The sequence below is a fragment of the Homo sapiens genome, chromosome 6 (assembly GCF_000001405.40).
Source record: "Homo sapiens chromosome 6, GRCh38.p14 Primary Assembly".
Taxonomy (NCBI): domain Eukaryota; kingdom Metazoa; phylum Chordata; class Mammalia; order Primates; family Hominidae; genus Homo; species Homo sapiens.
Genome location: NC_000006.12, coordinates 156,121,564 through 156,140,501, shown reverse-complemented (window position 1 = coordinate 156,140,501; position 18,938 = coordinate 156,121,564). Strand labels below are relative to the sequence as shown.

At 39.1% G+C, this 18,938-nt stretch overlaps 1 long non-coding RNA gene across 1 annotated transcript in view; it reads left to right on the top strand.

The window, feature by feature from the left end:
- LOC101928923 (uncharacterized) overlaps window positions 1-18,938 on the top strand; it is a 487,547-nt gene that overhangs the window by 155,770 nt on the left and 312,839 nt on the right. The gene's annotated exons all lie outside the window — the stretch shown is intronic.

Sequence of the window (18,938 nt, the reverse complement as noted above, 5' to 3'; positions counted from 1 at the left end):
ATAAAGACATTATCAGCAACTAAAGGAATTTCTTCATGGTGAAAAGTAAATAATATTAGAGGGAAAAAGGAACATCAGGAGTGAAAAAAAGAGAGCAACAGAATTGGTAAATATCTGGGTAAATAAAATAGGGTATTATTTTGAGTTAAACTATGTATGAATATTTAGAACAAAACCTACAATATTTGTCCTGTGGTTTTAAATGCCTGTAACTGTAATACATATGACAAGTATAGCACAAAGGGAAGAAGAAAAAGGGACCTATATGGCTGTACGTGGTAAAATATTAACTCTAAGTTAATTGTGAAAGAGAAACAACTAAAGAAATAGCACAAAAAAGTAGATCCCCAAATCCACTAGATAAGAGAAAAAGCTAAAAATATTCAAATAACCCAAAAGCAGACAGAAAAAAAGGTGAGTCAGGCAACGAAACCAAAGTATACTAAAGAAAAACAAAAAATAAAATATTGATTTAAGTTCAAATATGTCAATAATTTCAATAAATATAATATTGTTTAAACCAAATTAAAAAACATCAATTGTTCAATTAGAGAAAAATTCCAGATTCAGATATATAAAATTTTCAGCATACCCACAATAGGCCAGGTACATTGGCTCATGCCTGTAATCCTAGCACTTTGGGAGGCTGAAGCAGATGGATTGCTTGAGCTCAGGAGTTTAAGACCAGCCTGGGCAACAAGGTTAAACCCCATCTCTACAAAAAATACAAAAGGTAGCCAGGTGTGGTAGCACACACCTGTCCTAGCTACTTGTGGGGGCTGAGGCAGGAGGATCACTTTAACCCAGGAGGCGGAGATTGCAGTGATCCAAGATCATGCCACTGCACACCAGCCTGGGCAACAGAGTGAGACCCTGCCTCAAACAAACAAACAAAACCCCCCCCACAAAAACCCAAATCAACATACCTATAAAAAAAATACAATTTTATAGACAAGAAAAAAGATGGAAAATGATATGCCTTGAAAAAACTAATCAAAAGAAAGGAAGAGGTCCTATATTAATATCAGATGAAGAAAAATTCAAATAAAAAAATTCCTGGAATAAAGAAGGGCATTACAAACTAAAAGAGCCAATTTATGACAAAGTTTCCAAGACTACGTAATGAAGGAAAGACAGTTTCAACATCTGGCACTGAAGAAAGTGAATATCAACATGTGAGAGAAAAGAAAAGAAAACAACAACAACAAAAACAGGCAAAAGAAATTGTATACCTACCTTATACCATAAAATTAGCTGGATGTGGTGGTGCACGCCTGTCCTAGCTACTTGTGGGGGTTGAGGCAGGAGGATTTTATATACCTGAATCTGGAATTTTTCTCTGAACAGAATCAGCTCAAAATGGATCAAAGACTTAATTGTAAGACCAGAGACTATAAAACTCCTACCAAAAAATAGGGGAAAAGCTGCTTGGCATTGGTCTTGGCAATGATTTCTTGACACTAAAAGCATAGGCAACAATAGGGAAACTAGACAAGTGGGATTACAACAAACTGAAAAGTTTGTGCACAGTAAAGGAAACAACCATCAGAATGAAAAGGCAACCTACAGAATGGGAGAAAATACATGCAAACCATATATATGATAAGAAGTTAATTTCCAAAATTTAGAAGATACTCATACAAGTTATTAATAATAGCATAATACCCAAATGACCCATCTTAAAATTGGGCAAAGGCCTTGAACAGACATTTCTCCGAAGAAGACATACTAATGACCAACAGATATATGAAAAGGTGCTCAACATCATTATCAGGGAAATTCAAATTAGAACTACAATGACATATCACCTCACATTTGTTAGGATGCTATTATTTAAAAAAAGATAAGTGTTGGCAAGGATATAGAGAAATTGGAACTCTGGTACACTGTTGGCAGAAATGTAAAATGGTAAAGCTATAGAAAACAGTATGAATCTTCTTGAAAAATATTAAAAATAGAACTACCATATGATCCAGCAATCCCACTTATTGGTATACATCCAAAAGCATTTACTGTTACGAATTTCCCTCTAAGCACTACTTCAGCTGCATCCCACAAATTTTGATTTGAAAATGAAAATGTATACACATTATACATTTTCATTTTCATTTGGTTCAAGACACTTCCTAATTTTCCTTAAGACTCTTAGACGTATGAGTCACTTACAAGTGTTCTGTATGCTTGTATTAGAAAACTTATCTGAAATAAATAATCTAAACTTCTACTTTAGACAATAAAAACAAAGCAAATTAAACCATCATAAAGCATAATAAAGAAAATAATAGATTTTTAAAAAATAATGAAATTGAAAACATAAATAATAGAGAAACTGAAAGAAACGTTGTAAAAAAAAAAGTGATAAATTCCTAGCCATATGGACCAAGGGGAAAGAAAAGAGAATATCCAAATTATCACAATCAGATAGAAAAGTGAAATCATTAAAAGAATAATAAGTTAACAATTGTGATGGTTAATTTTAGTGTGTCAATTTGACTGGGCTGAAGTTTGCCCAGATAACTGGCAAAATATTATTTCTGGGTGTATCTATGAGGGTGTTTCCAAAAGACATTAGCATTTGAAGCAACTTAGTAAAGAAGATTGTCCTCACCAATGTGGCTGGACATCTTCTAATCTATTGAGGGCCTGAAGAGAACAAAAATGTGAAGAAAGGGCAAGTTTGCTCTCTGTTGATCTGGGATATCTGTCTTCTCCTGCCCTCAGACATTGGCATTCCTGGTTCTCAGGCCTTTGGACTCGGACCAGGTCTTTCACCATTGACTCTACCCTTGACTGATTTCACTAGTGAATCCTATAAACACTTAAGGAAGAAATAATACCAATTATATGCAATATCTTCCATGAAAAAGATGAGAGCAATTTTCAACTCACTTACGAGATTAACATTACAATTACTAAAACCAGAGAAAGATTTCACAAGTGAAAAGAATTACAGAACAATATATCTCGTGAATAAAAATGCATAATTTCTTAAGAAAATATGAGCAAATTGAATTCTACAATATGTAGAAAGCATTCTACATCCCAAATAATGGGGGTTTATCCTAGTAGTAAAAAGCTTCTCTAATATTATAAAATCAGTCAATGTAATTTGCCATATTAACAGATGAAAGACAAAAACTTTGGCCGGGCGCAGTGGCTCACGCCTGTAATCCCAGCACTTTGGGAGGCCAAGGTGGGCGGATCACGAGGTCAGGAGATCGAGACCATCCTGGCTAACATAGTGAAACCCTGTCTCTACTAAAAATACAAAAAAATTAGCCAGGAGTGGTGGCAGGTGCCTGTAGTCCCAGCTACTCGGGAGGCTGAGGCAGGAAAATGGCGTGAACCTGGGAGGCAGAGCTTGCAGTGAGCCGACATCGCACCACTGCACTCCAGCCTGGGCAACAGAGCCAGACTCTGTCTCAAATAAAAAAAAGAAAAAAACTTTATGATCATCTCAATAGATGCAGAAAAGTATATGACAAAAGTCGATATTAGTTTATGACAAAAGCTTTCAGCAAAGTAGGAATACAGAGAACTTCTTTAACTTAATAAAGAGCATCCACAAAAAGCTATAGCTAGTATCATTCTAATTTGTGAAAGACTGAATGCTTTTCCCCTAATTTCAGGAACAAGGCAAGGATTTCTGCTCTTACCAATTCTATTCATCATCCTACTAGCAGTCTTAGTCAACACAATAACACAGGATAAAGAAATAAAAAGCACAAATATTGGTAAGAAAATAAAACTATTTATTTGTAGACAACATGATTGTCTACATGGGAAATCTCAAAGAACCTACAAAAACTCCTAGAACTAGTAAATGATTTTAGCAAGTATACAGGATTCAAGCATGAAGATCAATAGTATTTCTATATACTTCCAATGAACAATGGAAAATCAAAATTTATAAAACATGCCATTTTCAATAGCTCCAAGAAAATATGAAATAAGTATTAATCTAACAAAATATATGCAGGACCTATATTCAGAAAACTATAAAATGCTGATGAAAGTAATCAAATAAGAAATGCTGATGAAAGTAATCAAATAAGACCTTAATAAATGGAGATGTATATTGTGTTCATAGATTGAAAAATTCAATATTGTTAAAATGTCAATTCACTCAAAACTCATATATAGATTCAACATAATCTCAATAAAAAGTCACATTTTTATATATCAAAAGGTAATTTTAGAGTTTATGTGGGTTAAAAAATTACCTACCAGGTACAATGTTCACTATTTGGCTAATAGGTATACCAGATGCCCGGTCCCTACCAATATGCAATGTACCCATGCAGCAAACAAGCACATGTGCCCTCCGAATCTAAAATAAAAAATATAATAAAGTTTACATGGAAATCACAGGAACTAGAACACACAAAATAATACTGGAAGAGAAGAGTAAATATCGGAGGAGTTACACTATCTAGTTTGAAGACATATTAAAAAGTAACACATAGATTACTGGAATAGTGAGTCTACGTGTAAATTTACACAAATGTGTTCAATTGATTTTTGACAAAGGACAAAGGGAATTCAATGAAGAAACCATAATATTTTCAATAAATGATGCTAGACTAATTAGATAACCACATGCATAAAAGTAAACTAGAATTTATATCTCATACATTATACAAAATAAGTCAAAATGTATCAGAGAACTAAATGTAAGTATAAAATGTAAATGAAAATTTAAAACTTTAGAGTAAAACATAGGAGAATATCTTTGTGATCTTAGATCCAACAAATAGTCCTTTCATATGATGCCAAAAATCTGGTTCGTAAAAAAATGATAAATTGGACTTTATCAAAATTAACAATTTTGCTTTTAAAAAGACAGTAATAAAAGACTAGACAAAGATTAGGAGAAGATATTTGTAAAATATATATCTGATAAAGCACATGTGGGAATAAATGATAATTTCTAAAATCTCAGCAATAAGAAAGCCAACAATTTAATTAAAAATGGGCAAAGTATTTGTAGACACATTTAACCAAAGAAAATATATGGATGGCATTTAAGGACCTGAAAAAATGTTCTACATCATTAGTGATATGGTTTGGCTCTGTGTCCCCACCCAAGTCTGTCCTCGAATTGTAATAATTCCCATGTGTCAAGGGTGCGGCCAGGTGGAGATAATTGAATCATGGGGCAGTTTCCTCCCATACTGTTCTCATGATAATGAGTGAGTTCTCACAAGACCTGATGGTTTTATAAGCGTCTGGCATTTTCCCTGCTGGTAACTCATTCGCTTTTCCTGCTGCCATGTAAGAAGTGCCTTTGCTCCTCCTTTGCCTTCCACCATGATTGTGAGGCCTCCCCAGCCATGTGGGACTGTGAGTCCATTAAACCTCTTTTTCTTTATAAGTTATGAAGTCTCGGGTATGTGTTTTTTAGCAATGTAAAAATAGACTAATACAATTAGTCATTAAGGTAATATAAATTAAACCACAATGAGATACCACCACACAACTATAAGAATGGCGAAAATTTTTAAAAAACAAATGAAAGAATCTGATAAAAACAAGTACTGGTGAGGATGAAGGGCAACTCAAATTTTTATTCATTGCTAGAAGAAGCGCAAAACAGTAGAGCTGCTTTGGTGAAGAGCATGGCAGTTTTTTTTTTTTTTTTTTTTGAGATGGAGTCTCGCTCTGTCGTCTAGGCAGGAGTACAGTGGCGCTATCTGAGCTCACTGCAAGCTCCGCCCACCAGGTTCATGCCATTCTCCTGCCTCAGCCTCCCGAGTAGCTGGGACTACAGGCACCCGCCACCACGCCCTGATAATTTTTTGTAGTTTTAGTAGAGACAGGTTTCACTGTATTAGCCAGGATGGTCTCGATCTCTTGACCTCGTGATCCGCATGGCAGTTTTTTAAATGAACTTAAACATGTGTTTAACATACAGTCTAGCAGTCTCGCTCCTATTTTACTCTAGAGAAATGAAAACCTACGGTCACACAAAAACCTGTACATGAATTTTTATCACAACTTTATTCATAATTTATTCCCCAAATTATAAATAACCCAAATATCCTTCATTTGGTTTCATTAGTTTCCTAGGGCTGCTGTAAAAAAAAAAATCACAAATTTGGAGGCTTAAAACAGCAGAAATTAATTTTCTCACAGTTCTGGAGGCTAGAAATCCAAAAGTAAAGTGTTGGCAGAGCCATGCTTCCTTTAAAGGTGCTAGGGAAAAATCCTTACTTGCCTCTTCCTCCCTTCCGATGGCTTCCCACAATCCCTAGTGTTCGTTGGCTTGCAGATGCCTCACTCCAATCTCTATCTCCATCCTCACATGGCTTTCTTCCCTGTGTCTCTTTCATGTCTCTGTATCTAAATCTCTTTCTCCTTTCTCTGATAAAGATATCAGCCATTGGATTTAGGGCCCCCTCTAAGCCAGCATGGTCTCATTTGAACTTGATTACATCTGCCAAGATGCTGTTTTGAAATAAGAAAACATTTACAGATAAAGGGGAGTAAGACTTGGATATGTCTTTTTTGGAGACATAATTTCACTCACTACACTGGCCAATGAATAAACACACTGTGGTGTGTCCGAGCAATGAAATATTACTCAGAAACAAAAAGGAACAAACTATAGATATATGCAACAACTTGGATGAATCTGAAATGTATTATGCCAATGAAAAAAGCCAGATTCAAATATCTATATAGTGTGTGATTCCAAAATGATAGAGAAGGAGGGAAAAAAACCAAAATGGTAGAAATAACCAATCAGTGGCTGCCAGGGGTCAGGGGAAGAGAGGGTTGGATTACAAAGGGGCAAGCGTGAGGAACCTTTGAGGTGATGTTTCCTGTATCCTATTTGGGGCGAGGGTTACACAATTCTATGCATTTGACAAAATACACAAACCGTGTGCCAAAAAAGAGTAAATTAAAAATAAAGATAAAAAGTAAATGGACAGATTTCAGAGACTGTGGGAGAGAGCAACAGAAAGCCAAATGTTCAAGGAGGGCCAAAGATGCAGCAAGAGAGGTGACATGGTACCTGCTATAAAGCATGAAACTTTAAGGAAAGAGTGAGTGCAAGGGAGAAATACATTTGTAGAAGTCTTGTTGAGTGGTGTGCAGTGTGGCTCCTGCCTTCATATTAAGTTCAGTTAAGATCTGTGCTGTTTGTCAGTGCTTTCAGAATTATGTTTTGTTTTGTTTTGGAAATTCAAACATTGTTGGCTATGGTCTTAAGAGAAGAGCAAGTTACTTTTTGGTTATAAAGTGATGAGGAGCCTAAGTGAGTTCATTTATTTGTATTTATTTTATTTATTTTTTAACTTGTATTTTAGATTAGGAGGTACATGTACAGGCTTTTTGTACAGGTAAATTTGTGTCATGGAGGTTTGTTGTACAGATTATTTCCTCTCCCAGATACTAAGCCTAGTACCCAATAGTAATTTTTTCAACTCCTCTTTCTCCTCTCCCCACCACCACCCTCAAGGAGGCCCCAGTCTGTTGTTCTCTTCTTTGTGTTCATGAGTTCTCATCATGTATCTCCCACTTATAAGTGAGAACACATGGTATTTGGTTTTCTTTTCCTGTGTTAGTTTGCTAAGGATAATGGCCTCCAGCTCCATGCATGTTCCCTCAAAAGACACAATCTCATTCTTTTTTATGGCTGTATAGTATTCCATGGTGTAGAGGTACCACATTTTCCTTATCCAGTCTACTACTGATGGGCATTTAGGGTGATTCCATGTCTTTGCTATTGTGACTAGTGCTGCAGTGAACATTCGTGTGCACGTATCTTTGTGATAGAATGAGTTATGTTCCTTTGGGTATATATTTAGTAATGGGATTGCTGGGCCAAATGGTAGTTCCTTTTGCAGCTCTTTGAGGAATCACCATATTGCTTTCCACAATGGTTGAACTAATTTACACTCCCACCAACAGTGTATAAGTGTTCCCTTTTCTCCACAACCTCGCCAGCGTCTGTTATTTTTGATTTTTTTTAATAATAGCCATTTTGACTGGTGTTCGATGGTATCTCATTGTGGTTCTGACTTGTATTACTTATCTAATAGTCAGTGACATTGAACTTTTAAAAATATGTTTGTTGTTCCGCGTGTACGTCCTCCTCTTTTGAAAAGTGTCTGTTCATGTCCTTTGCCCACTTTTTAATGCTTTTTGTAATGGCAACTATTTTCAAATGTTACCCACAAGTTAGGCTCTGGAATGTTGAATTAGGAAGAGAATTGCTAACATGCAAGAGCCCAGAACACATACCACTTAACACATATTTTCCAAAATCACTTGAACACATACTTTAGAAAATTATTAAAAAACCCCATAAAACTCAAAATTCAAAGTATAAAAAAGACAATTTTATGATATATAAGAATCTGAAGTAAACAGAGAAAATAATTATAAATTTAAGTAATAAATTTAATGCTCAAATGTGTTTTAAAAGCTGAATGTGATTTTGAAACTTTCGAAAGAAACGTCCTATAATCTAAAACTATAATTTAGTAAGAAAATGGATTTAAAATGTATTTAAATTCACAAATACACAGTTAAAATGCAGTTGTGCAGGAGTGGGGTTGGGAGAGCAGAAGCTGCAGACAGGCAAAACACAGTTTTGCTCTTATCTTTGACAATCTTTGAAATAATGGCAAGCGTTTCTAATTATTTGACTAAAATATATTCTTTCTTACTAACCAAAACTCAGTCTTGTTCAGGATGGCAAACCGCTCAGTACAAATTGTCTATTTCTCAGCTTTCTTGCAGCTAGAGATGGCCATGTGACATGATTGTAGTCAGTGAGAAGATGTAGGGAGGAAGCTGGCTGGAGGTTCCAGGGAAGTTTCACTACCCAGATCCAGATCATTGTCTCTTCCCTCCTGTTGTGCACTCTCGCCAACTTCCACCCTCCTCTTCACCTTTCTTCCTGTTTGGAATGTAGATGGAGGCCCAAGATGCAGTCCTCTGTCTTTTGGGACACTGAGGCCTCCATGAGATGCAAGTTTTACTCTTAGGATGACAAAGCAGAGAAAGAGAAAGAGCTTGGGCCACAGGGTGACCCTGGGGAACAGCTGTGACCCTGCGTTCCTCTGTCCCCACTTCCTCTTATGTGAGAACAGTCAGTCCCCATGTGGTAAAGCTACTCTAGACAATGTTCTAGACCCGGTCTCTGTCACTGAACGCTATCTCTAACAAAGTTTGTGAAACCACAAATGTAACTATTAATAGAATCATAAATAAGATACATACTTGCCAAACTACTTCAGAAGGAAAAGCCAGAAAAATGTCTAACAGCAGACAACAAAAGAAATATCTGATGATGATAACAATAAAATGATAATAAGTCCACATGTATCATGCATGACAATAAGCAGAGGATAAAGATTGTTTTTAAGTAAAATCAAATCTCTCTATCACCTGGTTCCAAGTCACTCCTCAATAAATAACCAACAAAAAAAATGTTTACAATTAAATGTTTGTCAAATATATTTCAGGGAAACAATGAAGGAAAGCAATATGTGGCCGCAGAATTAACATCAGACAAAATAGAAATTAAGGCGCAATCATTAAACCAAAGAGGATTTTTTATTTTTATAAAAGATGCAATGAACTAGGAAAATGGTCTTTTAAGAGCTATCTACCTAAACTAAATACATCAACCAAAAGTTCTTAGAACAAAGGTAAATTGGTTGCAAGACTGCTGTGTGAGCCTTTAACACAATTTCCAAGCCTTCAAAGATCATGGAGATTAAAAAAGTAATAACGGCATCAAAAATTTGTAAGATATACTTAATGAGACTGAAATAATGATTGGAAATTAAGCTGAGAATACATATTCTTTTTGAAGGTTGATGAGTAGATTTTCAAAACTAAGTTACAAAAAATTACAAAATGCATAGGTTATATATTCTGACCTTTATTCATGGGGAAAACCCCACAAAATTAGAGCTGTGTGGTCACTGTAAATCACATTTTGATGATCTGTAAAAGTGCCCATGATATCATGTTAAGTAAAAAAGCATTGTGCAATATTATATATTTTATTCAAATTTCTCAAAATTCATAGAATGAAATACTTCATTTTCACAGTGGTTACCACTGGATGGTAAAATTAGAGATGATATACCTTTCCTACTTCTGTGTTTAATGAATTTTCGACAGTGAGTATGTATTGTATTCAGAATACATGAAAAACAATAATTGGTAATAAAATAAAAGCAGAAGACCAAACTGAAGGTACACTGTGAATCAATTTTGTAAGTGTATGAGTGTGTGTGTTTGTGCATATACATTTATAGAGCCAAAGGTTTAAAAGAAATGTACTAACATATTAACAGTGGTTATTTCAGAGTTATAATTTTCAGCTTCCCACATTTTCCACGATGAATATCCATCATCCTTATAAGTGGAAAAAATAAATATCAATATAAAATTAAGCCTTCAGGAAAGTCTTCCTCTCAAGATGGCATCAGGGTTCATGCTCCAGAGTATCCTTTCTTTCCCAATACTCAGCAATGCAAGTTAAAGCATTAAAAAAAGAAACATAGAAAATAAATAGCTGTGCTCAGAAAATTTAAGGGGCAGAGTGGGGTCGGCCTACCAGTCTGGAAGTCAGCAGAGGGGACTGGTGGCTGAGGGTTTAACTTCTGTGGGAAATGACATCTAAACATGCTCCTTGAGAGACAAGCCACATAAACCAGACTCATAAATTAAAACTTAGGGCTTGCACCTGTAATTCCAGCACCTCAGGAGGCCAAGGCAGGAGGATTGCTTGAGCCCAGAAGTTCCAGACCAGCTTGGAAACATACACCCATCTCTATGCAAAATTTAAAAAGTAGCCGAGCTTGGTAGTGCATGCCTGTAGTTCCAGCTACTCAGGAGGCTGAGATAAGAGGATCGCTTGATCCCGGGAGTTTAAGGCTGCAGTGAGCTATGATCACACCACTGCACTCCAGCCTGGGTGAGAGAGCAAGACCTTGTCTCAAATACCACCCCCTTGCAAAAAAAAAAAAAAAAAAAAAAAAAAAAAAAAAAAAAAAACCAAACAAACACAAACTTAGGGCTGGGTGGATCTGTTGCTGCCACTTGCTCCCATTCCCATGCCCAAGAGATGACTCTGGACAAAATGGTACCTGCCAAACTAGGATCTGGTGCCTGGCCCTATAGCACTAAGCAGCAGACTGCAGCAGGACCAGAGAGTGACCTTATGGCCAAGGAAAGAGTTGGGTGTTTGGCTGGACTGGAGACTGGATCTGGGATAGCCCCAGCATCACCCAGAAATTTCAAAAGAACTATCTGTGAGGTCGCAGGTGGGATGAGAGGAAGATGAGAAGTGACCAGAAAAGTTTCAGACAGGGAGTGGAGGAATGGGTAATAAAAAAGAAGAGAGGAGGAAAGAGAGAGAGAGAAGTGGGGTGGGGAAGGAGAAAGACTAACAGGTAACTTCCCACATAAAATTCCTAAGCACACGAGGAAATTCCATGTGAAGAAAGAGACCCAGTGAAAACAGCAACCAGAACGGGAAATTACTCGGGATGGTTTCTTGCAATGGAAGTAGAGAATTCGAACCAGCAGCTCAGGATCAGTCCTTTTCATTACTCACTAGAACTTCTTTAGAGAGTGATCGGGGTATATAAAAGGGCGTGGAGCCCAGACCAGACAATCTGCTTATCTAATGGCTGGTCTGGTGAAGTGTTTGGTGCAGAAACTACCATATATATATATATATATGTGTGTGTGTATATACATGTATATATATGTATATATATGTGTGTATATACACACATATATGTATGTACACACATATATATATGGTTTTTATCTTTATAAGCTCTCTCTCCTGTTAGGGGTTATACTCAATGGTAATTAGCAAAGGAAAAATGAACGCTACAGGTTTAGCGATCATATGTCTCAAAAAGACATTCATGTTCTTATAAGATGTTTGGTGGCCTAATAATTTTGTAAAACTCAGAGATCCCAATATGATACTAGAGTTGGGTGTTGAGTGCTCCACAGAGCCTGCATAACGGGGGTCCGTGTGGGTGTGGACTCCACAGGTAAGAAAGCTGGGATGTTTCCAAGTGCTTCTAAGAGAGCTGGTTGAATAGTACTGGACAATAATCTCACCCAGCTGCGGCACTGCTGGGCCCTCCGTGGCTTCCTTCTGCATGCGGACCTCACTTCCCACCTCCCCTCCACCTTCTTCGCCTTCTCTACCCCCATCCCTGCCATCTCTATTAGCAATTCTGCTTGTTGCGGCTGTGGCTGTTGCTTTCCTGTCCCTTATGCCCCCGAACTGATGCCTTCCATTAACAGCTCCTTTCAGGAGCTTCTGTACCAGAGCCCAGCTAGGGATGGTTTTAGAGGCTCTCCCTGAGCTGCTCTCCTAAACCTATGTGTAATGCTCACCGTTGCCTTTCTCATACCACCAATGCCAGAGACCCTTTGCAGGGGTCAGTTAGGATGGAGTTTCCCCCCTCCTTTATGGGACCTTAATCTAGCTAGAAGAGGACCTAATCACCAGTCCAGAGGATCGCTGGTAGAATCCCACAACAGAGCTCGGAGCCCTTAGGAATAGAAAAACCCTTGTCCCGGACATGACTACATATCTCAAGGCTCAAAGGAAGACCTTTGCCACATTGCTCAGAAAAGTGTGTGCAGCTGTTTCCCCCTCCAGTGAGGACAGAACAAAGAAGAAAGGGGCTAACCTGCAGCCCAAAGAATTCCAGTTAGACTGTAAGCAACACTTTGCTACTACTACTGAAGATGGATAATCGTTAGAATTCCAGCAAGGGACAGTGTTTTGTTGTTGTTGTTGTTTGAGACAGAGTCTTGCTCTGTAGCCCAGGCTGAATTGCAGTGGTGCAATCTTGGCTTACTGCAACCTCCGCTTCCCCAGTCCTGGTTCAAGCAATTCTCCTGCCTCAGCCTTCCGAGTAGCTGGGATTACAGGCCTACACCACCATGCCCAGCTAATTTTTTTATTTTTAGTAGAGTCGAGGTTTCACCATGTTGGCCAGGCTGGACTTGAACTATTGACCTCGTGATCTGCTTGCCTTGGCCTCCCAAAGTCCTGGGATTACAGGCATGAGCCACCATGCCTGGCCAGAGGGAGAGTTTTTTTTAAGTTCCATAGGCTCATCAACAAACAATGATCATGCTCCAGGCAGTCTCCTAGAAGGCGGGGACACAGAGAAATCAGAGAAAATCGTTGGGCTTATGTGGTGGTTGGGTCATGCTTCGTCTACAGCAGGTTTCTCAGCCTCTTTGCTACTGACACTGGGACCAGATGATTCTTTGTTGGGGGGCCGTCCCATACATTTCAGGGTGTTAAGCAGTATCCCTGGGCTTCTACTTACTGCATGATGGTAGCAGCCTCTCCCCCAAGTTGTGACAACTGAAAATGTCTCCAGACATTGCTAAGTGTCCCCTGGGGGCAAGAGTGGGGGTAAAATTGTCCAAGGTTCAGAACCAATAGTCTAAGGATGAATTAAGACCAATGAACCCCATTTTTTATTTGAGGCAATGTTATGGCAGAAATAATTCTCTTCATAATGGTTTTATATTGAACTGATCAACTAAATGGAGAAAAGAAAATGAAGCAGAGGCGGTACCCTAGTGGAACCCTGTAGTTAGAATCCCGTCAGACAGGTTTAGTCGACCCCTCCATTAAGAAGATGAAACAAGGGCTACAATCACTCACTGGGGATAGAAAAGGAGCCTGTGAAGATCAATGGCATCCAATGTAGCATTAAGGCCCAAGAAGGCAAGCCGTGAAAACAAGTCCTAACTGGCATAAAATAAAAGGTTTTTAACCACATGGAGCAAATCAGTCTCTGGGCTGTGCCAAGAAGGAATCTGGAAGGGACACAATTATGGAGATTACGACTAGAGAGATGATTAGAGACTTGGGGAATTCTTTTTTCAAGGACTTGCTAAGGAAATGGGACTGTAATTAGAAAGGGAAGCAGGCTTTCTCTCTGCCTCTCTCTCTTTCTCTCTCTCTCTCTTAGGTGAACTAAAAAGCTTCGGTAAATACATAACAAGAATCTACGAATCTTCCAAATCAGTGGGAAAATGTTCTAACTTCAAAAATCACTAATGAATACGTCCTAAAGCAAAGTAAAACTGCATTTGCAAATCAGTCTCCTAGTTACCTGTCAAGTCGGGAGCGTCAGGATTTTTAGGTATGTCCTGAAGCAGCAGATGACAAGCTATTGAAGTAAAAATTCTGAATAAAATTAGGGCAGCCCATTAGTCCAAACAGGGGGACACACCGTAAAAGACTTACTGGATTTGTGAACTGAGATTTTTATGTGTGTGTGTGTGTGTGTGTGTGTGTGTGTGACTGATATTCTTACTTTGAAAGTGTGGAAAGTAATTTTTTGCCTTTTTGGCGAGGGGGATAAAAACCCAAACTGAGATCTGAGGTTTTTATAGTTTGGCAAATTTCAGAGATATGAAAGCAGAATTTTTGGCACTCAGGGACTGAGAGGCAAATGACATCATATGGCTTAAGGGAAATAGAGAGCTAAAAAAGTACATTTGGAAAATTTCAGTAGCTGCCTGCCACTGAAATCATTTTGAATTTTTTTCCCAGTGAATTTAGTTGTCACAAAAGGCACTGGATTGATGACCCTGCAAAGAAAAAATGGCAAGTCTCAGGTCTCTCTTAAGGGCCCCCAGGGTTAGAAGGCAAGGAGTTGTGTTGTCATAGTTGGCTTTCAGGAAGTGACTCCCTGAATTGGTGACACATTGGGAGTGAGTTAAAGGACCCAGCTATGTTCCTATTGGCTTGTAGAGAGGAAAGAGAGCTAGCTGTCACTCCGTAGTCCCGGTTTCTTGATCCTGGTGGCATCCCAAGTATGATTTGAGGGATTATATATTTGGAAGCTCAAGGTAGTCATCCCAAAGCTTCTCTTTGGGATGTTTCCTGCATCCCCCTAAGAGGAGTTCACGGAAATAACATCATATTCAGTAAATGGCAGACTAATTCAAAGACAGGATTAGATGGAGAAAAGACAAGAGGCAAAAACATTTTCCCTTCAAACCATTACTGATCACATTCATCACCCCTAGGGTGGGTTAGAGGAAATGAATGGGCAAAGGGGATGTATCAAGAGTTACCCTGGAACAAGGACGGGAGGACTACACTGAGTGGAATTGTTCCTGGCTCTTCTTTTTCTCTGTTCTCCCCAAGCATGTTTATTTTCAGCAGCTGTCCTAGAGTTCATGGCTTTGCAGAGAGATGGCAAATGAAGTTATATAAAAAACATTTTAAAATGGAAAAATATTAAAATAGGATAAAAAGAAAAAAGATAGAAAGTGTACTTAGTGCGGCAAATACACACTCAGAAATAGGAAAACACAAATGAAAGGCACTAAAATAAAAATCAGGACGAGTGACATTTAGTGATGTTGGGTAAAGTCTTTTCCGTGTTCTGGTGTTATTGTATTCAATTCTCCAGGCCCAACCTTGGCCTGCTCAGTAAATTAACATGAGTGTCAGTCGTGGACTTGCAAAACTAGGACTGAGTAATGTGGTGTGCTCATCAATATATAATGTCCATCAATTTCCTACTTGTCTTCAAATCTTGATTCAAAACTTTCACTTCCTCCCCGATTGGCTGTTATAGTGCTGGGTTTCCCATAGGGTTAGAGAAAGCCTTTGTGTTTCCCATGACTACATGAGGAAATATGGTAAACTTTTACCTCTGAAATAATCTACTCAGAAATCCTGCTTTCTGATTGTGGGCCCCATAGGGCCTTCCCTCCAATGTTCTCCTCCCACCCACTGGTTCCGGGGTCTTACTCAAACTGGGAGAATAGAGAAGTTCTGAGCAATGGAACCCACTAGCTCTCTTCTTGTTTTCCTTCTCTGCTACCTTGAAATTCCATGGGTAAATAATTCTACCTACTTCCTGGCCTCTGATTTACCAGCTTGGCTTTTGTTTTGTTTAGTTTTGTTTCTTTCCCATCCTTCACTCTTTTGCAGGCTCATCCTGCATTTGTGGACTCTCAATCCTATCTTCTTTTGTTTCCCCAAAGTCTCTGCTACATCAATTATTACCTCTTTTTCTTAAATCTTCAATTACTCTTTGTGTACACTGGCTCCTTCCCCCTCCGGCTATAAACACACTTAGATCTCCCTCATCTTAGGAGAAAAACCTATCCTACAAAAACCTCTGTGTCTCCCTCAACTATTATCCTTTTCAAACTCCCTCTAAAACAAATGCCTCTATTTCTTGAGCTACACTTGACTCATCAACACGATCGGATTCCGCCACTGCCATGCCCCCACCCCACTAGAAATTGCTTTGGGAAAGGCCAACAATGATCAGCTCCTAATTGCCAGATCAAATCACTTGCTTTCACCTTCTTCAGTCCTGGCCTCGCTATAGTCTGACACCAGTATTAACTTTTCCTCCTTGACACTCTGGTTTTCTGCTGGCTTACATCTGACTTCTTTGATACTCATTTTATCTTCACTGGCTCTTTTCGCTTTATCCTCTACTTAAATGTGGACACTCCCCTTGAAGTCCCCCACCCTGCTTCTCTCCCCATTCTGTGCGCTTTCTCTGGGCAGTTTTGTCTATGCTCATGACTTCATCCATGCCTTCTCCACGGATGACTTTCCAACCATATTTCTAGTCCTGACCTCATGCCTGAACTCCTCTCTAGTATTTCCAGTTGTGTTCTGGTATTTCACATTCAAGCTGTCAAAAACTGAACTCGTTATCCCCAAAATCTGGCATGGTGCATGGCACAGACAGCCCTGCTGAAGCAGAAGAAGAGAGTTTCAGGCAGGTCAGAACATGGAGTTTTCAGGCCAGGTCACATCTGCATTCTCCCCTTTCCCATGGAGACCTCAAAGTCTGGCATACGCACACGGTCATTCCCATCCTGACTTACCTTCACATCATCTGCCCATTCTGTAATTACAGAAAACAGAGAAGACATGAATTCGTATTCGTGTATCTAACAAGTGTGTTGGCCAGCTTTGCAGTAGGACCAGAAGGCCTTGAACAGCCTGACTTTTGGGCCAGCACAGAATCACTCGATGTTTCAGTATTAACTCTAGCTAGGTACCTTAATCTTTACTTGTGACTTCCCTGCAAAGAGGTAATATGCACATCCTAGAAATTTTCCTCTGTAATTCTGCTATGGATGTAGTGCAGATAGGTAGTACCCTGTGTCGAGGCTTAGGCTCTGCTAATCTATTGGTACAACATGTATTTTTCAAGTAATTTCATGCAGGTTCATCACTCCTTCTGGTAGACACTGAAAATTCACCCATTACCCAAGACTTTAGGAGGCAGAGAGGGCACTGTCAGCAGATGGTATTATCTGTCTCAACAGATGAGAGCCCAGAGAGAAAAGTGGTAGAAAGGTGTCTTGGGGGTAAAGGCCATGGAGGCTCTCCACAGTCTTTTCTAAAATGCCAGTATGCCCATCATGGAGCTATTATCACAGCTCGAGTTCATCCTCACATCTTGAGCTGTTACCTACGTCTATTACAAGTTAGCATCGGCAGTGGTTAGCTGATGTCACGTGAAGCATTTCATAGGTTCTTTGGTGGTAGAATGATACCTAAAAGAGACAGGGAGTCCTGGACCAGTGAAAGGAAAAATGAAGAATATGAGGCATTGAGGGACACAAAGAAAAACAAACCCTCCTGCACCAAGATTCTTAGGGTCAGCAGAGCCACCCCAAGATTCCTGACTCCTGCTTGCTGTGGTGACATAGATAGCCAAGGAGCACCAGGAGATCCGAGTGTCATTGTTCACCTCGGGGGCAACATTCTCTTTCATTTGATAAGAATGGTGCTTCAAATAAGGGAAAATTTGAAAAATTCACCCTCTTTTTGGTTTTGCATATCATCAGGTCTGATAATGATTGAAATATATGTGGGTCATATTGACATTAGTCATTCTCATGGTTTTGTATTGGAAGCTGGTGTCCACATGGGTATGGTTCACCTATGGAAGGAGGTGGGTATTGGAGTTGTTCTAAGAATACAGAGCCCTCTCTGTCCTGATGGGAAAACAGTTCAAAGAAGGATAAACTATAGGATGATGGCCAACGTGATGTCTTTCTGTCTTTAATATTTTTATCTGGACCCACATTTGAAGGTGTGTTTAAGGACACCCACAGAAAGAAGATGTCCCACGTAGGGGTATATGCATGCTGCTCTGCGGGGGCTGAGCTGGGACTGGAGGGGGGAGGTAAGCTCTACTCACGTGCTGGAGGACTCCTGGTGGGACACAGGGAGCCGCATACAGTTCTCCTGCAGTGTGCCAGTCTGGAAGCTTTCAGGTCTTTTGGACTTGATGATTTATCTTACACTGACTCAGTCAATGCAGATGAGAAAGTCCCATGAGACAATTATGTCACCAAAATCTCTGTCCTCAGCTATTATTGCTTTAATTGTATCTGCTCTGTAAGGCCTTGGAATTGACACAGCCCAATCAATAACACTACTTGTGAGTGAGGAACCGTTCTTGGTGACACTGCTGCAGTATTTCAGATTTACGGATATTTTCTCATTCAATTAAGAAGATGGAGAGCATTCAACCACTGCTGGTCAGAGACCTAGAATTCCTGTAACAAACTTCTGCCCTACCAAATTTGGCTGCAGAATTACTTTATAAGAGGAAATTTGGGCCTTGTCCCCTGACTTGAAGGCCAGTGTTTGAAATATGCAAAGGAACTATATGTGATACAGAACAGAGTGTCCTTCCTCCTTGCTGGGAAGAGGTTGTCCCTGTCCAAGTTCTCCTTACAATGTTGCTTCTATCAGGGGAACAGTTGTTCATTGATGCTGTCTCTTAATATCATAGAGCTTCTATCCACAACATAGGAGAGGTGATTATCAAAGGTGTGCCATCCCTTAACACAGCCTAAAAGTTTTAGTGCATATATAGAAAACAATGTGGATTCCTGGATACAAACTC